The following is a 21909-nucleotide window of genomic DNA, read 5'->3' as shown; positions in this document are numbered from 1 at the left end:
AGCTGCCACTCCCCCAGAAGTCTTCCAAAAAGTATTTTGAGCAGGACCTTTAGACTGGGGTGTTGGAGTCCCAAGGCCAAGGCCGACCGCGCTGCTCTGGGCCCAGCGGGCGTTCCCACACGGGGCTGTAATGCCACGATTGGCCGCAGGAGGGGGGCCGTATTCCAGACCCCATTGCAGAAGCCTCCGCAACTGCTCCAAGAACTTTATTTTATACGGACTGGCGGCGAGAGCAGCTGCAGTTCGCATCTCAGGCAGTACCTAGAGGAGCTGCCGGTGCCTCCTCAGAACATCTCCTGATCGCTACCCAGGACCAGGCACCAAGGACAGGGAGTCCCAGGCGCACACCCCCCATTCTGGGTCCCCCAGGCCCAGACCCCCACTCTGCCACAGGTTGCATCTTGACCTGGTCCTCCTGCAGAAGTGGCCCCTGTGGTCCTGCTCTGAGACTCGTCCCTGGGCGCCCCTGCAGCCCCTTTCTATGACTCCATCTGGATTTGGCTGGCTGTGGGGACGCGGTCCGAGGGGCGGCCTGGCTCTCAGCGTGGTGGCAGCCAGCTCTCTGGCCACCATGGCAAATGCTGAGATCTGAGGGGACAAGGCTCTACAGCCTCAGCCAGGGGCACTCAGGTGAGTCTTGGTACTAATTTTGTCCTATCTCCTGGGCATGCTGTCTCAAAGACAGCTGGAGGAGACTGGAGTGAACTGGATGGAGAGGAGTACAGAGTTTGGGAAACTTCAGACCTAGAGCCTGGAGGTGCCTTCTCCAGGTGGGAAGGTCCCCGCCTGCTGGGCCCGCAGATATCTGCCGGGCCCTCATCCAACTGCCTGGGCTGGAGAGAATGTGAGCCTGCATTTGGGGTGCCAGAGGGAAGCTATTGCCTTGGTGGCTACTCCACCTGACTCATGTCACAGCTCAAGAGCCTACTCAGGGTGCAGATGGCTCAGGTGACAGCTCCTCTCCATGGCTTCGTGTGTGTGCATGTGTGTGTGTGCATGTGTGTGTGTGCATGTGTGTGTGTGTGCATGTGTGTGTGTGTGCATGTCTGTGCGTGTGCATGTGCCAGTGGTGGGATATATGTGGGGAGAGGTTATTTCTAAAATATCTGTCTCTGTCCAGCTTTGGGTTATGATTTAGCTTAACTAAGTACAGTTAGAGGAGGAAAACATTTAAAACCTCCTTAGTGATTCTCTCTTTGGAGAAGGGCCACACTCATGTGATTTTTTTCCTTGGTTTTGATGAGTTTAAAGTGAGGTAATCCAAAGAAAAGCCATAAACCCTGCAGAGTTAGATGCGGGTACCCAGAGAAACTGACTTGGTAGCAGCAAATGAGGCTCGTGCTACCCACTCAGAGGAGGAATTAATGGAGTCCTTCTGATCTCCAGAGAAGGATTGAAGAGCCAGGGTCCTGATATCAGCCCTAGAGTGCATTCGCGATTGCCTTTTACAAAGGGAACTTCAAACAGCTTTGTTTCTGAGACTGGCTAGGTAGGAGGGAGGCCTTGGGAACCTGGACACCCCCTTACCTGGCTGCCAGGCAGAGTCAGAAGATGCTGGGGGATGCTTTTTCTCATCAGACTGCCACCAGCTCCCCTGAGTGACCTTGTTCATAAAGTCATGCCACATGCATTATCTCACGGGAGGCTCACAGTGATCCTGGGTGACCAGCAGCTACCCACCTTCCCATCTTAGAGGTCATGTACCTGAGGCTGAATGAGGTCAGGTAATTGAGCCAAGTTCCCCCAAGAAACCAATACGCAGAGGAGCTAGGATGGGAGCCCTTGGCTTCTGTGTTCCCTGCATTCCTGCAGAGAGCCAGGCCTGCAGGGCGCAGATGGCCCCAGGGCACAGGGCTGCAGGGCACAGATGGCTGAGGGCTTTTCCAGCTCTAAAATGCAGAATCTAGAAGCAGATCCCTGGCTCTGAACCTGCCCTTCTAAGTGCCTTGGGTGAAATTGTCTGGAAGTAAATCATGATTGCCAAGAGGTTAGTGGAGAGGGTGACACCTCCCTGTTAGAGCAAGACCTCCCTCTTTGAGTTGCAAGTTGAGGTCCAGTCTCCTTGGGCTTCATCCACAGGTCACTGTGGCTTCCACATCTCGCCCATGTGCTTCAAGCTCTCAGAGCCCTGCCTCAGTCCCAGGATCCCCACCTGCTGGAGTACACTGGCTGGCAGTCTGAGGTGGGATTCTCTTCTCTGCCTGATCTGGGGCCCAGAAAGTGGTCACCAAAGGGGCTGACATGCAATTCCCAAACAAAGCAACCCTGCAGCTGAGCCAGTGCCCTGTGTAGGAAAACTGTGCCCGGGGCCTCTTCCCGCTCTGATATCCATTCCTTCCTTTGCCTCTTTGGTCTGGGATGGCTTATGTTTAAAATGGGAGGGACGGAATGCAAATGCCATCAGCCTACCCCCAACACAGTGCTCCTGGGAGGAGCACTTGCCATCAGTTTCATCTTCTAGAGCACAGACTTGGTCCAAAGACAGTAAGATCCATGATCTGAGGGTCCCAATGCCTGCTTCCTCCCCCAAGAAAGAAAAACAGCCCCCAAGAAACCTTGGGCAGACAGAACATGCGTAGGTTTCAATTCCAAGTAACAAACATGAGTAGAGTTGTCTGAGCTTTTCCAAGCCCTGTGCACTCACATCTGGCCCCGCTCGGCCCCAGTCCCTCTCCCCAGCAGATCCCCTGGGCTCCTGCTGGACCAGCTGAGGGGTGGGGAGGAGGAAGGAGACAGCTGCCCTTCACACACATTCTGGCTAACAAGCCGTGCATTCCAGCCCCGTCCCAGGAGCTGACCAGAAGAGGAGGAAGGTGGAAATGGCAGTGGGGCCTCACACCTCCACTCCCCAGGGGCAGCGCCCTGTCTGGCTCTGTGTGGCCTCTGGGAAGCAGAGGCTATTGCCTTTGGCAGAGGGAGGGTTATTGCAGGCAAAAGAGACATTGGCCTCCTGCTTCACAGCCCCGCAAGGAGTGAAGCCAGAGGGAGGGCTGCCGCACACAGTGCTCATGAAATGAGGGAGGGTCCCTTGCAACTTAGCAGTGCTGGAGCTGCCCGCGGCCCCACCTAGAGGCCCTGCCTGGGTGGAGGCATTGGGTGGAGGGCCGGAATTGGGAGCCCAGTGAACTGGACACCACTGCAGCACAGGGAAGCCAGAGTGGGTGGTGTCTGGGGCAGGGAGGAGAGATCCTGGCAGAGCCGAGGACCACCCCCTGTTCCATCCCTCCCATAGGCTGGAGGAGAGGCCCGCAGATACTGGGAGCCCCAAGGCTGTGTGTGTGCACATGCGTGTGTGTGCCCGTTATGGGGGATGTACAGAAGGGCTAACAGCAGAGGCGTCCAGCCCTCCTGGGTCATTAGAAGGACATGTATACAGTGACTGGTCAGTTCTGGTCTCTTCTCAGCCCAAATGTCAGAGGTCTGTGGAGGCCAAGCTCAAGTCATGAAAATAGGGGCTTCAGCTGGGTGCAGTGGCTCACACCTGTAATCTCAGCACTTTGGGAGGCTGAGGCCAGTGGAGCGCTTGACTCCAGGAGTTCCAGACCAGCCTGGCCAACATGGTGAAACCCCATCTCTGCAAAAAATTAGCTGGACATGGTGGCTTGTGCCTGTAATCCCAGCTACTCAGGAGGATGAGTTGGGAGGATCACTTGAGCCCGGGAGGCGGAGGTTGCAGTGAGCCAAGACTGCACCACTGCCATCCAGCCTGGGCAACAGAGTGAGACCCTGTCTCAAAAAAAAAAAAAAAAAAAAAAAAGAAAGAAAGAAACAGAAAAAAAAAAAGAAGAAAGAAAATACGGAATTCTTGTTTTGCTCTGCTGCAGAGCAACCCCGCCAGCCGCCTTCCCTGATTATGTCTATTTATGAAAGTTGCCACGCCTCCTTGCCCACCCTCCCTCTGAAGAGAAACTGATTGACTGATCTCTCAATCAACAGGCATTGTCCCCCCACTGCCACCTGCCAGCCCTGCATCCTCTCCTCCCAGCCTCCTCTGGGTTGAAGGGTTGAGTTTGCTCCATACTGGGCCTGGGACCCATCCTCATGGGGCTTTTATCTTCTAAAGGATGCTGTTCTTTGGTTAAATGTCCAGATAGTTAAAGAGAATCAGAAGCAAAGGTCAAGATAAACTCATGGCTGGAACCTTGATGAAAGTAGAGAATAATTTGTAAAGTCACTGAGCATTTATGTGACAAAAACAATATCAAGAAATTGATGTATATACTTTGTAATTTGGCTTAAAAAACAGATTCTTCTCATTACATAAGGAATGTAAATGCATCATAGAAAACCCAGAAAATCTGAAAGCAAAAAGGAATATTAAATCCCCACAATCCCTTCCAGCCAGAGTCCTGTAATACATTTCTCACCCGGAGCCATCATAGCGTCTTACATCCACACGCACCTTACGCGTGCATGTCTTACAAAATGGGATCGTGTTGTACACATTGTTGCGTCAACAGGCTGTTTCCTTTCAAAGAGCATAGGATTCTCCTAAGTCAATGTATATGCTCCTGGACCATCATGGCGTAGACCCAGAGACCCAATGAGTCAGCCTCTGGGGGCCATGCAGACAGAAGCCCTCCCTGGCCTAAAGCTGTCCAGATGCTTAGTGCCTGGGTGTCCCTTCAGAGGCTCCCTGCTCCTCGGGCCCCACCACAGTAGATGAATCCCTGCTGTGGTCCTACTGAGCCAAGCTCCTTCCAACATGCCAGCCCCGTTGGATTTGGGAGCAGTCCTGGTCTGCTCAGCTTTGTTTGCAAGTGGACTCTGTACCCCCTCTGAATGCCCCTTCATATCTAGTTTCCTTCCTTCATTTCCAACACAGAACAGAAGCTCAAGTCTCTCTGGCATGCCCCGGGCTTCTGAGGGCTCAGAGCCTGCTCTCAGGTTACCTTTTGAGTCAGCAGGGTTCCCTCCTCCTGGCCCCACCCAGTGTAACCCACAGTGACCCCAGCTCAGGATTCCAGCCCCACTGAGAGTTGTTGAAAGGAATGGACACATCCCACCATCAGAAAGGCCCAAGGGCCTTGGTCTTCTGAAGCCCTGAGGAAGCTGGGAGTGGGGGCATCACGGCCCCAAGGACCTGGAGGATGGCACCTGGGTCCTGGTGATGAGCAGAGGGTCCCGGTGTTCAGGCTTAGGGTCAGGGGTGGGCACCTTGTTCTATCCATTTGCTTCTGTTTCCACCTACAGTTGATTCTCTGTCTCTCTCCCGGCCTTCGTCCTCCCTCTCCTCCCCTCTTGCCTTCTCTGCAGCTGTTGCAGGGTGTGATGGAGAACAAAGCTATGTACCTACACACCGTCAGCGACTGTGACACCAGCTCCATCTGTGAGGATTCCTTTGATGGCAGGAGCCTGTCCAAGCTGAACCTGTGTGAGGATGGTGAGTGCAGCTGGCTCAGACTTGGGGCACAAGATCTGGCCTGGGGGTGGGGAAGGAGCCCTACCACCACCCAACCTTGGCATTGCCTTTAAGTGCTTGTGACCTCCTCATGTAATAGTGCATATATTGAACTTTATGCTTTAAAAGGTCTTCTCCATGGGTTTTCTCATTCATTCACTTCCACAAACCTGTCAGCAAGATGAGTACTCATTTTACAGATGGACAGATTTCACAGTCCATCAGTCTTATGGTGGTCCAGCATGGAGCCTCCTGACTCCGAGGGCCATGCTTCTGCTCCTGAGAGAGTGAGACTCGGGTCAGGCAAGGGCCTCTGAGCCAGTCAGTGCAGACCCTCTCAGGTGAGGAGAGGGGCCTCCCACCCACTTCCTGAAGCACTCGTGAGGGGCAAAGAGCTCTCCAAGGTGCTCATCCTGCCCCTGGGTGCAAGGCCCTGGTCTTGCCACAGAAAGGGGTCCCCAGGCCAGTGACCCAGAAGGCCTTGCATCTCAGGGGCTGCTTATTTGCTAAAACCCTGGAGATCCAAGTGATGCAGCTTCCTTTGGAGGAGCCCAGAGCGCTTTTCCACCAGCTTGGCTCCTGTGCACCCAGTAGATGACTGATAAGTTCTTGCTGCATGCAGCACATGTCAGAGAGGAGAGCATTGCCCCCACGTCAAAGAGAAATAGAATGAAGCTTACTGAGGAGCCTTGCAAAGACTTCCGGCCAAGGAGAGACAGGCCTTTTCCTCTCTTGTTTTGCTCCACTCTGCCAACTGCCTCTTGAAATTACTCAAGAGCAATGACTCCACTCTTCTCTTCCTCCGACCCTGCATTCCTCCCACAAGGCGCTGAGTGTAGGGAAAGAACCGTGGTGGCTTAGAGTGGGGAGAGTCTCTGCAGGCAGAGGACACAAGGAGATTTGGGCTTCTGACCAATGAACCTGCTCACCCAGCCCTAGGATTGTCCACCATGGTGGCTCTTCTTCTGGATTCCAATTGACAAACATATTTTGAGGATCCACGACGTGTCAGGCCAGGGTGAGCAGCCAGGGATTCTCCAAACACAAATTAAAAAATCTCTGTCCTCAAAGGGCTTATGATCCCAGTAGAAGAGGCTGGCATGGGAACAACTGCCTATAATATACAGTAGGCCAAAATGTGTGTGAATAATAAAGTCAGGCGAGCAGAGGGCTTTCTGGAAAAGGGCTGGAAGACTGAAGGAGATTGTCTAAGAGAAGATGTGGGAAAGATATTCCTATTTGTGTGACACCAAGCTGGGTCAGGTTTCTGTAAGGCTCACACCAGTCAGGCGGAGGAGAAGGCCTGGGGTTCTGGTCCCATGCAGAGCTCCCATCAGTCCATCCGCAAAGGGGAAGGTGGCATCCATATCCACTGGCACATCAGCAAAGGGGCTTGGTTTGGCAAGAAAGACTGGGTACAGCACAGTGGGGTGATTGGAGAGGACTATCAGGGCCAGCCTGGGGGGCCTCAGGGGTGGGAGGGGTCAGATGTCCCTGGGACCACCATACCCACTTCCTAGTACCTCATCTTACTCTCCCTTTTTCTGAACCCCAGATTGTTTTTTTAAAAAGCTCATTTGGACCAGAACGACTGGAAATTAACAGCAACCCTAGCCACTGCGCCTTCTGGGCCCCTCCTCTGTGGGGAGCTCTGTCAGAGGGCACTTTGGGAGCCATGCTAGCCATGTCCTGTCCCAGGGTTCCCTGATGCTAGGGCCCAGGTGCAGGGCAGACAGCAGAGGTTGAGAGGTGTGGAGTCCAGGCTGATTCGTGCCTCCTGGGCCTCTGTGGGCCTCAGTGTACTCATCTCAGGCTGACTCGTGCCTCCTGGGTATGTGACCCTCTGTGGGCCTCAGTGTACTCATCTGCCAAATGGGGATGCAGGGGGTTATCTCTGAGGTCCTATCTGGTTCTAGAATTCTGTGTGTAAAATTGGACCTGGCCATTGAATTAGGAGTGTGGCCCTTTTCAACCCCAAGTTAGAATATGATACTATGCTGGGCAAAGCATGGCTGTGGCTCCCACTTCAGCAGGAGTGAAAACTCGGGTGCTGACAATGTGCCCAAGAGGTCCTGTGCCTCTCCCCTCTGTGCTGCCCCAACCTTGGCAGGGAATCTCTGACTTGCTCACCTGGGTCTTTTGCCCTTAGAAGGGTGCTTCCCTGGCATCCCCCAGTGTGCATTACTGCCCCCTCCCACTTGGTCCATGCTCTCACCTCCCCCAGGACTTAGCTCAGCTCCCACCTTCTGCGAGGCCTGAGTTTCCATCCCCCTTTCCCTGACTCTTTTTTCCTTTCTTCCGTGGTCTGACTTCCTCATGACACTGTAGTCTCCTTATTTACATGTATCATTTATTATCCATTCCCTGAGGCAAGAATATAGGCTGGACCACAGTAGGCATCTCTGTTTTGCTTATTGATGTCTCCTGAGCCCAGCATACAGTAAGTGCTCACTAGGCATTTTTTGAATGAATGGATGAATGGGTGGATGGATGAATGAAGGGAATAGATGGATGGATGAATGAATGGATAGATGGATGAATGAATGGATGGATGAATGGGTGAATGGATGAATGAATAAATGGATGGATGAATGAATGAGTAAATGAATGAATGGATGGATGGATGGATGGATAGCTGGATGGATGAATAGATGGATAGATGAAAGGATGGATGAATGGATGGATGAATGGGTGAATGGATGGATGAATGAATGAATGGATATGTGAATGAATGAATAAATGGATGAATAATGAATGGATAGATGGATAGCTGGATGGACGGATGAATGGATGGATGGATGCATGGATGGATGGGTGAATGGATGGATGAATGAATGGATGGGTGAATGAATGGATGGATGGATGCATGGATGGATGGATGAATGGATGGATGAATGAATGGATGGGTGAATGAATGGATGGGTGAATGAATGGATGGATGGATGAATGAATGGATAGATGGATGAATGAATGGATAGATGAATGAATAAATAAATAGATGAATGAATGAATGGATGGATAAACAGAGGGGTCCTCGAAGTCTAAATGTGGCAAAGCATTCACCATCTACACCTGATTGCCGAATTCTCTGGGTCCATCTTCATTCCTGGCTGCCAGGTTGGGGGCTGGAATATGGGGAACCCAGGCAGAGTAGAGTGTTGAGATGAAGCCAGTGACTTCAAAGCTTGTGGGCTTCCAATTTGATTTTTCCCCCTTTTCCTTTCATTTCAGAGAGGAAAATGATGAGCTTGACTTGGGGAAATTCAAGCCAGATTTGATCTGTTTTAGAAACCCTTTAGAAGGGTTTTGCTGCATCTTTGATCCTTATCTCTGCGGAGTGAAATGGGAGAGGAAGAGGAAAGGGTGGGGCCAGGCAGGGAGGGAGGAGGGGGAAGTTGGGAAGAGATGGGAAAGGAAGGGAGAGCCAGCACCCTGAATCCGGTCAGGGCCGCCCTTGAGCCTTTATTTAGTAAATGAAGACGGTGAAGTGTGAGGTCCAGGACAAGCTCCAAGTCCCTTACAGGTCTTCCTCCTTCAATGGAGGGCGAGAGGTGGGAAGAGGGGAGGAGAGATGGCACTTCTTGTTGGAGGCTGGCCATGGGGATAGTGGGATCAGGGGAGGCAAAGTCCCAAAAGTACAGCCCTGACATGAAGGTAAGATGCAGCCTTCCCTGGTGGTGGGACCTGCTGAGTCCCGGGTCCGGTCACTGGCAGGCTCCCCAGTGTTCCTGCTGGGTGTGATGAGCTGCCCCACTCTCATGGCCCATGTGCTGTGGAGTGCAGGACTCATCTTCACTGAGACCGGAGAGGTCAGGACTGTGTTTTGCTCCTCTGGGAATTCTTTCGGGACCTTGTAGGTGGCAGATGTCCCAGAAGTCTTTGTGATTGTTGGTAAATGATGTGGTAAGTCCACTCAAGTCATCAGTGGTGGAGCTGGAACCGGACTCTGAGTCTCCTTACCTGAGATGCAGGCTCCTTCCCAGGATGGGGATTTCACGGGGTTGGACTGATGGTGCCAAGGAGTGACTCCCCTCACTTCTGGATTTGGAACCAATTGGGAAATAGACAAGGAGGCATGTGGGAATCCAAGTGCAGAATCTGCCTTAAGCCTGGAAAAGCTCTGTTCACGATGTGGCTGCTGGCACCCCCAACAGACACTCACCCAGCCAGCAAGCGTGAGTGCCCCTGTCCAGGCACCAGCCTTCACCTGGTTCACCCACACACGCCCTCCTGCCCATCCACCTGAGAAACAGGGACAAGAAATGCCAGGTTACAGACAGCTCACCCATTGGACAAGGTAGCACTTCCTGCAGGCAGAAGTGCTGAGGAGTCCCTCTTTTATGGGCTTGGGCAGGTGGTCAGTCCAGAGATGAAAGGAGCTCCCTGCAGCCACCACCAGAGGTGAGAGCAGGAAAAGCAAGAGAGGAGGTGAGGGGACACCCTTGGGGTATGGGCTGAGTGGGGGCTCGATGCCCAGGGAGCTTCCTCAGCGCAGAGGAAGGGACCCTCCTCTAGCAGAGCAGCTCCTGCAGGCACCGTTCCACTCCTGCACCGGACCTGCTGTTTTTTTCTCTTTCCTTCTCGCCCCTCATTTCTCTTCACCCTCCCTGCCTTTATCCCTTCCCTTTCTTCACTTGCCAGGTGAGATGGGAAGAGGAGGGACTGTTGGGTGCCTTGGTTCTCTGTCCCCTCCCTGAGCAGCCATCTTGCCCAGCTCCTCCAGCTCGTCCTGTCCCTGCATCCTTCAAGGCCCCGCAGGTACCCCTTGCTCTCTGATGCCTTTAGAGCCTCCCTTCTCTGCATGCCTGGGCGGGGCCACCTCTGGAATCTGCCTCCTCCCTTGCGTCTTGGCCATTGCTGTCCTCCTCGGGGCCCACTGTTGATGGAAGGCCCCATCCTCCTCACCTCGTGGATCCTGGGCAATAGCCGAGCATCCTCCTGTGGGGCTGGAACTGCTTGGAAGGGCCAAGCCCAAATAGGACCTGGAAGGTTCCTGAGCCAAGCTGCCTCTAGCGGCCTCTGATGGATGCTCACTCACACCACCCTCTGAACAGAACCCCAGGCACCGGTGATCTGGCCTCCCTCCTCCCGCCCCCCACCCCACCCCCACCTTCCTTTCTCCCGCCTTGGTTTCCCCGATATGCAGCCGGGGCCTCTCCAGTCTGGCGCCAGGAGGTGGAGGAGGAGGCCGATCTGGGAGTGGGTGGGGACTGGCTGGGCCTGGTTCCTCCACAGCACTTTCCGAGGGCCAGAGAGAGGTGTTAGTGTCAGAAAAATACTGCAGTCCCATTCGCCCCCACGGCCCCAGCCCCCTCCACTCGTGGCGTCATCCATGGCCGCAAATAGGACCTGGGGGTAATGAGTTACACATGCTCCTGGCAGCTGCCGACGCCTGCAGCCGGGCCGCTCGCTGCCTCCAGGCCCGGCCTCCCCATTCCTGTGTTCCTTCCCCATAAAATGAAAATATCCTCCTCATCTACCTTCATATCCGTCAGATCTCCCCGGTTCACTTGGCGCAGCTGAGGGCTGCTGGGCTGCTGCCCAAAGATGGGAATGGATTTCCTGGGAGGGGCTGGCTGGGGCCTCTGGAAGAGTCACCGCCGTTTACAGGTTGCCGCATCAGGCTCTGGTGCAGGAGAGGGGACTATTAACCCAGTTCAGAGCTACAGCCCATGCCAAGCAGAGAGCATGGCTCTGTTAGGCAGGTCTGTGGTCCCCGGGGGAGCCAGTGGCCAGGCGTGTTCCAGGTCTCTCTTGCCCAATGGGCTGTCCCTCTATAAGATGGGAGTGGCTTGGTGACACGTGTTGCAGTGTGTCAGGGCTGGATGTGAAACCATGGTGCACACACGAGTTGTGTTGTCCTTGCATGCGTGAACTCAGACCCAGTGCAGGGGGTTCTGTTTGTCCCGCCATCCCCACGTGCCGTACACTGTTCTTTACTCAACTCACGGGGGAGCCCCGGCAGGAGGTGGGTGAGGGGAGACAGGGAAGCTGGAGCACTTACTCCTCCGGCTTCTGCCCTGTGGAGTCACCCAGGGCTGCTCCTGTCCCTCCACCAAAGACCACAGCTCCTTTAAAGCTGCCCTGTCCACCTGGGCTTTTCCCCTTCCAGGTTCTGGCAACTGCTCCCATCCCTGACCCTTTGGGCCCAAGGGTGGTTACAGCCCGCAAATGCTGCTCTGTCCTTCTGGGTGTCACACCCTGGCCACACCTTTGAGACATTCCTTTTATGAAACCCTGTGATGTGTCCTAATCTGAGGGAGCCTTCTGTTTCTGCCAGGGCCCTGACCTGCTAATCTTGAGTGTCCTTGTCTGCAAAGTGAGAATAATGTTACTAACCCCACAGGCATTGTGGGAGGATTACATGATATAACCCGGGTAAAGCGCCTTGCACACAGTAGCCCCTCGATCCACATTTATTTCCCTCCCTGGTCTTTGGGAGTCCCCTGCAAAGCTTGCAGAGGTGGGGAAGAAGGAGAGGGAGAGATGAGGAGGTAGAAGGAGCTGCTGCCACCCAGGGACTCCCAGGAAACACCTATGCCCCTTCTCAGGGACCCTGGCCTGGAGAGTGTTTTCGGGCTGATCCTGGCCTTCTGCTGAAGAAAGCAACATTCTGGTTACTAGTGGGATTCTCATGAGGCCTAGATACTCCAGGAAATTGAGCAAGTTCCTTTAGTCCTGTTTCTCGAATATTAGAAATACTGGGCCCTGAGGGCTCCTGATTCTATGGCGTATGTGTGTCTGTCCCTTCATCATCCTAATTGGAGGCACTTTGCTCCCAGGGGCCCCCTGAGGTTTGCTACCAGAAGAGCCAAGGGATGTGTTTCCTTGTCTCAGGGTAGAGGCTGCTGTTTCCAGGAGGCGTTGGGAAGAGGAGGGAGGGGGTACAGAGGCACCAGGGGCGCCTTTCCATGCAGACGGGCATGGCCTGGAGCATCCCCTCTCTGTCTTCAGCCAAAGCCCCAGCCCTAGGCCATGCCATCTCCTGTGTGGCATTACTCTAGGGATGGGGGCAGTGAGGAGGGTCTGAGGGGGATGCCACCGACATGTCCCACTAGCCTGGTACAGTCTGGAGTGGATGGGCTTGAAGGAGGCCCGCAGTGAGGACAGAGCCCTGGGTGGGCAGGTGGGCTTCTGGTAATCCCTGGAGTAGAGGGGGTGATGAGTGGCCAGGGCAGTTATTCCTTATGGCATCCCCCAGTTCTCCTCACCACAGACCTTGCTGTCATAGCTCCTGGCCTCTGCTTCCTTGCTTGCTCATTCATTCATTTCTTCATCTTCATCTTCCAGCAAAATATATTCAGGGATCCTGCAGGTGCTGTGTGCAGCAAGGGGCACAAAGAGGTGTGAAATAGGGCTCCATGACTTCTGCAATTTACCATCGCTCTAGCTGGTCTGTCCTCCCCTCTCTCCTCCCTCCTACTGCAGACCAGCACAAGGCTGGCTCAAGTGCAAGGTTACCTAAATGTGACTCAGTGGGCCAGAAATTCAGGGTGTGGGCACGTCATTGGTGCAGACCCGCACACAGCCTCACTCGGCTCTGATACCTGAGTCTAAAGTGCTGAAGTCTCACCTTCTCTGTTGTGGGGATGGCTTTGTGTGGTGCTTAAAAAGACAGGTTCTGGGGCCAGGCATGGTGACTCACACCTGTAATTCTGGCACTTTGGGAGGCCGAGGCGGGTGGATTGCCTGAACTCAGGAGTTTGAGACCAGCCTGGGCAACATGGTGGAACCCTGTCTCTACTAAAATACAAAAAAAATTAGCCAGGCGTGGCGTGGCGGTGTGTGCCTGTAATCCCAGCTACTTGGGAGAATGAGGCAGGAGAATTGCTTGAACCTGGGAGGCAGAGGTTGCAGTGAGCCAAGATCATGCCATTGCACTCCAGCCTGGGCAACGGAGTACAACTCCGTCTCAAAAAAAAAAAAAAAAGTCAGGCAGGCTCTGCAGTTGAACAGGCTGGGCTCACACCCCATCTCTGCTGAGTGCTGGCTGGGAAAACTTGAACAAGCTCTTATCCTCATCTTCCCCTCCTCTAAGAAATGGGAAACCCGTAGCGCCTGGCTCATACGCTTTTGCAAGGGTTACGTGAGTTATTCCACATTGAGTCCTTCCAAATGGATACATAGACCACACCCCAAAAATGTGAGGTCCTAGGGTAGAGTACCCTTGCGTCCCTTCAGTATGTCTGCTTCTGCTCCTGGGCCTGCCCTTGGGGCTCTGAGCAGTGCTTCTGTTTTTTCTGTCAAATAGGAAACCTAGAGTGAAGAAGAGGAGCGAGTGGGAAGTCACATCTGGGAGAGGCAAAGAGAGATGATGGGATGAGGGAAAGGTGGGAGCCCAGGGATAGCCAGTGCCCCTGGGTCTTTAGGCTCTGAGTTTAAATCAGCCCCATTGGCATAGGGGCGTGGTTTTCTTTTTCCACCTGTGCTCGACTGTGTGGGTGGAATTAGACCTGACCAGGGTTAGAGTTTCCCTGTGCAAGTGTGAGGAAGCAAGACAAAAGTGAGGAGTGGGAGTGTGTTACCTGATAACGTGGATCCTGGAGTGGAGTAGGATAAGAGAGCCAGCAAGGATAGGAGGGTGTAAGAGGGTGGAAAGGCAGTGGGATGCATGGTCTGTGGGAGGCTGGGGCACCCCAGAGTCAGAGACCTGAGGGACTGCACTAAGAAGATGAGGGCGGGCACCGTGGCTCAAGTCTGTAATCCCAGTGCTTTGGGAGGCCGAGATGGGAGGATTGCTTGAGGCCAGGAGTTCAAGACCAGCCTGAGCAACACAGAGAGACCTCCAACCTACAAAAAATTTTAAAAATTAGCCAGATGTGGTGGTGCACGCCTGTAGCCCTAGCTACTCGGGAGGCTGAGGCCAGAGGATCTCTTGACCAGGCGGTCAAGGCTGCAGTGAGCTGTGATCACACCACTGCACTTCAGCCTGGGCGACAGAGTGAGAGCCTGTCTCAAAATAAATAAATAAATAAATAAATAAGATGAGCCATGGCACTTATAAAGTGGGACACTTGAACATGGGATTTAGATTTCAGTGATTGGTGAAAAGCCTTTCTAGAGCAGCAGAATCCACTAGAAATGAAAGGTGAGCCACACATGAAATTTTAAAGTTCTTAGCAGCCACCTTAAAAGGTGAAAAGACACAAGAATCTGGCCAGGTGTGGTGGCTCACACCTGTAATCCCAGCATTTTGGGAGGCCAAGGTGGGCAGATCACCTGAGGTCAGGAGTTCGAAACCAACCTGGCCAACATGGTGAAACCTTTTCTCTCCTAAAAAAAAAAAAAAAAATTAGCCGGATGTGGTGGTGGGCACCTGTAATCCCAGCTACTCGGGAGGCTGAGGCAGGATCATTGCTTGAACCTGGGAGGCAGAGGTTGCAGTGAGCCAAGATCGCGCCACTGCACTCCAGTCTGGGAGACAGAGCAAGACTCCGTCTCAAAAAAAAAAAAAAAAAAAACAAAAGACACAAGAAACTAACTGAAATACACTAGTGCACTTTAGTGAATCCAGTATATCCAATATATTATCATTTTGACATGTAATTGCTATAAAGTTTGTTGAGGTATTTATGTATTTTTCTCTCATGCTGAGTCTTCAAAATCCAGTGCGTTTTTTACAGTCGGAGCCCATCCCTGCTTGGGCCAGCCATGTTTCCTGTGCTCGAAGCAAATGGCCCAGGCCAGGGAGGCTGGAATTAGGTAAGGAGGCCGGAAGGAGTGATACCCGGGGATCAGGAGAGCCAGGGCAGTGATAGGGATCCCGGGAGGGGAGGAGCAGGTGGCTCTTAACCGGGAGGTGCAGTGTCAAGTCTTATGACAGTGAACACAAGTGCTGGGGGTTTTTAGGGAGGAAGGAGAGGGAAAGTTCTAGAAGGAAGCAAAGAGAAACATCTACCGCCCTGGCATATGACTGGTGTATGAGGAGAATGGGAAAAGAAAAGTCCTCATGGGAAAGGTTAGGCAGGCAGGAAGCAGGTCTCATTTAGAACAAGAAAGTAGAAGAAACGCCTACAGCAGAGGCTGAGGGAATGAGGTTTCACGGCTGATCCGCTGGGAGTCCGGTGGCAGATGCAGGAAGGTTTCAGGAGTCAGGGAGGGAGATAGCATGAAAGGAGGATAAACACAGCTGTTTGGGATTAACAGTGGGTGATGGGGGGGCCTGGGGAGTCCTGGGTTTTCTGTGGGTGCAATGGACTGAATGTTTGTGTCCCCTCCAAATTCCTATGTTGAAATCCTAATGCCCAAAGTGATGGGACTAGGAGGTGGGGCCTCTGGGAGGCGATTAGGTCATGGGGGTGGAGCCCACGTGGGTGGGATAAGTGCCCTTATAAAAGGGACCCCAGCGGCTCCCTCACTCTCTTGCTGCCATGGGAGTATACCGTGAGGAGTGGGGCGGCTGTGTAGACACCTGATCTGCCGGTGCCTTGGTCTTGGACTTCCAGCCTCCAGAACTGTGAGCAGTACATTTGTGTTTATGAGCCACCCTGGCTGTGGTACTTTGCTGTGGCAGCCTGGACTAAGGCAGGGGGGCTGGCTAAGCCAGGACTGAGGGCTCAAGCGATCCTGCTGGGTGGCCTCAGGGCAGAAACTGCTGGTGAGGCTGTGAGGTTTTGTGGGGAGGAGTTTTTCGAGGAGCACCCAAAGTCCTAGGGCGCCTCATCCCCATCCTCTTTGCCCCGACCTGCTGAGCTCCCTCCTCTGGCATGGCCTGCTGTGTTTTTCGTGCGTAAGTAGCAGAGCTGGAGGCTTCAGGGACACGGATGACTCAGTCCTCTACAAGTGGCAGGGGAGGCTCTCAGCATTTCTGTCTCCCAAGCCAGACACCCTTCCCACTGAATGGTGGTAGGAATTGGGAGAGTGAGACAGGTGTATTCAACTCATTTGTTTCTGCCCAGAGAAGAAACCAGTTCATCAAACCAAAGTGGACCCAGGAGGTGGGCGGAAGGTTGCATTAGCATCCCAGAAAGAGGAGTGGTTTAAAAATGGAACTAGCTGAGACCTGGCTTCCAACTTGCAGACATCTTTAAGGGACTTATTGTCATTGACAAAGGGCCAGGAGGGGAACTGGGAATCTTCTGAACAAGGAGCTGGGGCCACTCTGTATGGGGAGGGTCTTTTGGCCTGAAATTAGGCAGAACCCTGAGCCTGCTGCTTGAGTCTCACTGCATTGATGCCGCATAGCTTCTAATCCGTGTACTGTGCATTTGCAGCGTGAATAATGGCATCTTTCACCAGCCCCAGGAACCTCTTGTTCTTCCTGGGGGGCTCTCAGGCTCTCTCCCGCATGGCTGCAGTGGTGTCCCAGCTCACCTTGGCCACCCTGCCCTCCCCTCCCCCAGCTTCCTCTCTCCACCCCTCAGCCCCGGCTGCGGAAGAAGACGCACACCGGGCATCCCTTCCCAAAAACAAGCACACACACCCTTGATTGTTCTCAAGAATTTTTATGCAGAGTAACTTGGGACATGGATGGGGGTGGAGGAAAAATAACACACATTGTATGAAAGTGACAAGATGGAGAGATCTCTGAAAGTACTGAGAGAATCTGTCCCAGACCATCGTAAAATCTGCATGGAATTAGCCCTGGCTGTCTCTCCTTCCCGTGCTCTCCTGTACTTAGAAGTGGGTGTGAAAGGCTTGGGTGCATCTGGCCCTGTGGAAGACCAGGCTCCTACCCCGGGTGCCCTCGCTGAGCCGTCTGCCCTGAGGACTCAGGCCTGGGATGCAGCAGGGCAGAGGTCACTGGTGTTCACTCTACCCCAGTTGGTTCTGGAGAGAGGAAAAAAAAACCAAAATGTTTTTTTCTATTCGCTCACTCATCACAGAATGCTTCACTTCAGGTTACCAAAATCGATGAGGATTTCTCTCCATCAACAGCCAATTCTGCAGTGGGTTCTCTAACGGATGCCAGCTGGGTGTCCTCTGGTTCAATTCAATCCTGATGCGATGCACCTGGTGGTAGCCTTGGATTCCCACAGGTTGAGGGCCCAGTCCCACAAGACTGCTCCCACCCCGCACCCACTTCCTTTGATTGACTGGCTATAAATCGGGGTTCCCAGGACTCCCACCCTGAGTTTGATTAATTTGCTAGAGTGCTTCCTAGAACTCAGGGAAACACTTTACTCACATTTACAGGTTTATTGAAAAGGATATTACAAAGGATGTGTAGATGAATAACAGAGGGAAGAGGTGCACAGGGTGGGTCTGGGAGGAGGGGTGCAGACCTTCCATGCCTTCCCCAGCTGTTCTGCCCTCCAGGAACCTCTGCACATCCAGCTCTCCAAACCCAGTCCTTTTGGGTTTTTATGGAAGCTTCATTATGTAGGCATGATTGATTAAATCGCTGGCTATTGATGATCAACTCAACCTTCAGCCTCTCTCTTTTCCTGGAGGTTGGGGGTAAGGCTGAAAGTCCCAACTCTCTAATCCTGCCTTGGTCATTCCAGTGGCCAGCCTCCATCCTGAGGCGATCTAGGGGTCCCCAGATCCAGTCATCTCATGAATACACAAAAATCACTCTTATGACTCTGGAAATCCCAAGAGCTTTAGAAGATTTTTTTTTGCCAGGATTCAGGATGATGACCAGGATGATATAGACTTCACAACATCACAGTTGTTGAGGACCCTGCCAGGCTCCAGGGAGACTTGTTTCCCTGGGTCCGCTGTGACTCCAGGCAGGACTCAGGTGGGTGGCTCTCGGTGGCAGTGCCCCTGCTTCATACTTTCCTTCCCTCCCCTATGGAGTCCCCATGAAAGCCAGAGAGTGGTGGCAGCTTCAAAGACAGGTTATTTGTGGCTGCCTGTTACAGTGAACAATGTGAGTGATGAGTAACCATTGTGAAGTCAGACTTGGGTGGGTTTCACAAAGCTCCTTGGATGAGCTGAGCTCTGAGGTTCCTCCCAGCAATAAAACGCTATCTCTACCTGCTGTTTATGAGCTGTGGGACCAAAGACAACAAGAAGAAAGTAGCTGTTTGTTGCTGTTAAAACTCAAGGAGGTAACAATGGAATCATTGCCTTCTGTTTTTTTTTTATGTTCAGAGCCAGTTTCTTTGGAAATAAACACTCATTTTTATCAGATCCAATTTGTGAGTTTCTTTTAAAATGGGAGGGGGGAAATAAATTTGGATAACTCCAAAATGCTCTAAAATTATGACTAAGAAACTGAAATATTAGTTTTTCAAGGAAAGGACATTTTGATGAAGGGGACTGCTGGAATACTCGCTCATGGTTCTCACAGTTAATGCATGACAGAGGCAGGCTTTGCGTTGACTTCCACAGAGCCCCAGACCCATGCTTTTCCCCCGAAGCACTGTGAGAGATGCTGCCTGCTTAATACAGGGAAAGAGGGCTGTAGAGGTTCAAGGTTCTCTCCACAATGTAGCCTGACACTGGGGGACCCTCTCCCTACTCATCCTCAGCTCAGGGTGCCAGGGTTGTGTTGTTTTTATATAAACTTTCCTGTTCTTTAATGTCCGTTGCCAAACATCTCCCTACCCCCAGGATAGAGTATCTTAGCAAAAACTCTTTGGGGTATTCTTGCTCCCGGTTTTAGGAGGAAGTCTTCACAATGTTTACCTCTAGGAATAATACAATCTTTTGATACAACCCCATTTTCGATGTGTCCTATTGAAAAGAAATCAAGGAATTTTTTTCACCCCATAAGTCAAGCTCTTAATAATAGTAAGACTTTTCATATGCTTTCCAAGAATGTGTCTTCACCTTCCCTTTTGATATGACAAATGCCTTGCTGCAGAGCTGTGGCCTCCGTGCCATGGATCTGTGATTTCACCACTGAATCAGAGAGTGAGCATCCAGGGGCAGGCTCAGGCCTTGGTATGACTAAGAAGCTCCATGTGTGATTTTGACTTTCAACCAGGAGTAAAGTATCTATTCTGTTCCAGTGATTAGCTTCTACAGTTTACCTGCATGGGCACAAAGAAGCAAGCAGAGACCCTGGATATGCAAAGAAAGCCCAGCTTTTAATTAATTAATTAATTTATTTATTTGAGACAGAGTCTCACTCTGTCACCCAGGCTGGAGTGTAGTGGCGCGATCTCGGCTCACTGCAATCTCCGCCCCCTGGGTTCCAGCAGTTGTCCTGCCTCAGCCTCCTGAGTAGCTGGGATTACAGGCCTGCACCACCAAGCCTGGCTAATTTTTGTATTTTTAGTAGAGATGGGGTTTTTTCATGTTGGCCAGGCTGGTCTTGAACTCCTGACCTCAAGTGATCTGCCCACCTTGGCCTCCCAAAATGCTGTGATTACAAGCATGAGCCACTACACCCGGCCCCAGCTTTTATTTTTTCAGACCAAAAGTTTGCTCTAAAAATGTGTTTTTCCAGCCAATTAGAGTTTGTCAATTATTTGCATACGGCGAATGTAATAGACAGTCTTTGCCACAAAAATAACTGTTCACATGTGTTTGCTTTGCTGTTCACTGGCTGACAGGGAGACACACCTTGCCTCAGAGAACCTTAGAGACTAGTGGGGTCGCCAGAGAGGTAAAGAGATAATGGTTGATAATGAGGATGGTGTGAAAGATGCATGCAAGGTTCTGACATGGTTCTTTCAGTGGTACTTAATTCTTAATATACTACCTTCTAGAACTTTTTTCTCTTTTTGGGAGTCAGGGTCTTGCTCTGCCACTCAGGCTGGAGTGCAGTGGTGACACAGCTCACTACAGCCTTGAACTCCTAGGCTCAAGTGATCCTCCCGCCTCAGTCTCTTTAGTAGCTAGGATACAGGCACATACCACCATCCTAGGCTAATTAAAAAAATTTTTTGTAGAGATAGGGTCAGATTATGTTGCCCAGGCTGGTTTTAAATTCCTGAGCTCAAGCAATCCTCCCATCTCAGCCTCCTGAAGTGCTGGGATTAAGTCATGAGCCACTGCCTGGCCTGAACCATGTTAAAACTTGAACATCTAAAATTTGGTTTTTCTTCTCTATAAATGAAATTTCTTTGGTGTGTATCAACTTTCTTCTTGCAATATGTCACTGAACTGTGACTTAGTTACTTTCATTAAAGTCAGTGTTTCCCAGGATGTGGCTACATACAGCATAGTGGTGTTCAAGATGCCTCTGATACACAGGTATAAATCTGTTAAAGTGTCTACTTTTTTTGTTTTTTTTTGTTTTGTTTTTTGTTTTGTTTTGTTTTGTTTTTTTGAGACAGAGTCTCACTTTGTCGCCCAGACTGGAGTGCAGTGGCAGGATTTTGGTTCACTGCAGCCTCTGCCTCCCAGGTTCCAACAATTCTCCTGCTTCGGCCTCCTGGGTAGCTGGGGTTACAGGTGCCTGCCGCCATGCCCAGCTAATTTTTGTATTTTTAGCAGAGACGGGGTTTCACCATGTTGGCCAGGCTGGTCTTGAACTCCTGACCTCAGGTCATCCATCTGCCTCGGCCTCCCAAAGTGCTGGGATTACAGGGGTGAGCCACCGGGCCCAGCCAGGTATCTATTTTAATGTATAATAGGAAGATACTAATTTTCCACTTACGATGATAAAGTTTCCTTCCAAAGAAATTTAAGTTTAAATGTATTTAAGTGGAGTGATGTTAAGAAAGTAATAGCCCAGGGACACTCTGCTATGGCAAGATTGTGCAGGCTGTATGCAGGGGAGGATGCCTACAGAGGAGAAACCATCTACCTGCTGCTCCCAGCAATCATCAAGCAGCCACGTGCTCCACACCGAGATGAACAACGTCTCCCAGCCTGGCATTCTGGGCTCTTCTGGCAAGTCACTGTTCATTTCTATTTATTTGCTCAGAGCCACTGGCCTTGCCCTCTCTAGACCTCTTGGCTTCCTGACCTTCCAGATGCCACCCTCACTTCTGGAGGCCACTGCAAAATGGAAGAATCTTTCCCATGAGTCTGTTTGAGTTTGGGAGAGTTTTTCTTCTTCCTGTTGTTGTCGTAGTGGTTGTTGACCATTTTCTCCAGCGCTCTGGTCTTGTGTGTGCTTGTGTCTGCAGACAACCTGTTAATCATGAACAGCTTTGTCTGGTACTTCCTGCAGATGGTTCACACAGAGAGGAAGACTGTTTGCTCCTTAAAGTCACTGTTTTCAAATTTATAAGTCCTGTACATTGGACTCTGAAGTGAAGACAAAGAGAACAGAGTTCAGCCCATCTAGAAAGGGCTGTCCTTCACACCCTGGTGAATTGTGGCCTCCTCCATGCAGACTCTGTGACTACCTCTGGCACCGAGTGCATCGCCACCTGTGCAGGGAGCACTTTGCTTGTGTCACCGCTCCCTTCCGCACCAACCTCATTCTTCCCTGTATTGCAATTACCGTTTTATGCATCGTCTTCCCCTCCCAAGGCTGCATCTGAAAGGCAGTGGCTGCATCTTAATCTCTCAACAAATATTTTGAGCATCTGCTATGTGCCAGGCAGTGGCCTGGGAGATGGGCAGTTGGAAGTGAATGACGCTAACAAAGTCTCTCCTTCCCACAGTGTGTCATCTTTGTATTCCCCAGCATCTATTATAAGTGTGTTAGTTATCTA

General features: G+C 51.8%; 1 protein-coding gene across 4 annotated transcripts in view, besides 1 other annotated feature; it reads left to right on the top strand.

The window, feature by feature from the left end:
- The first annotated feature begins 213 nt into the window (after window positions 1-213).
- The window catches only part of SCARA5 (scavenger receptor class A member 5), a 122791-nt gene continuing 101095 nt past the window's right edge, over window positions 214-21909 (top strand). For 3 of the 4 annotated variants that reach the window (NM_001413201.1, NM_173833.6, NM_001413202.1), the window contains exons 1-2: window positions 214-630; window positions 5257-5383. In NM_001413201.1, coding sequence (NP_001400130.1) covers window positions 5272-5383 — 112 coding nt within the window. In that variant the 5' untranslated portion in view covers window positions 214-630; window positions 5257-5271. Of the gene's footprint in view, window positions 631-5256; window positions 5384-15760; window positions 15858-21909 lie in introns of those variants that run through there. The other variant, NM_001413203.1, reaches the window with a different exon arrangement.
- Window positions 15399-16283: an enhancer, noted in NCBI's record as "H3K4me1 hESC enhancer chr8:27834121-27835005 (GRCh37/hg19 assembly coordinates)". NCBI's record gives its function as "activates a minimal SCP1, AML or CMV promoter by ChIP-STARR-seq in naive H9 embryonic stem cells {active_cell/tissue: H9 hESC(naive)}" and the evidence as "EXISTENCE:reporter gene assay evidence [ECO:0000049][PMID:30033119]".

Source organism: Homo sapiens, chromosome 8, assembly GCF_000001405.40.
Source record: "Homo sapiens chromosome 8, GRCh38.p14 Primary Assembly".
NCBI classification, from domain to species: domain Eukaryota; kingdom Metazoa; phylum Chordata; class Mammalia; order Primates; family Hominidae; genus Homo; species Homo sapiens.
This window is presented reverse-complemented; position numbering and strand designations above follow the sequence as displayed.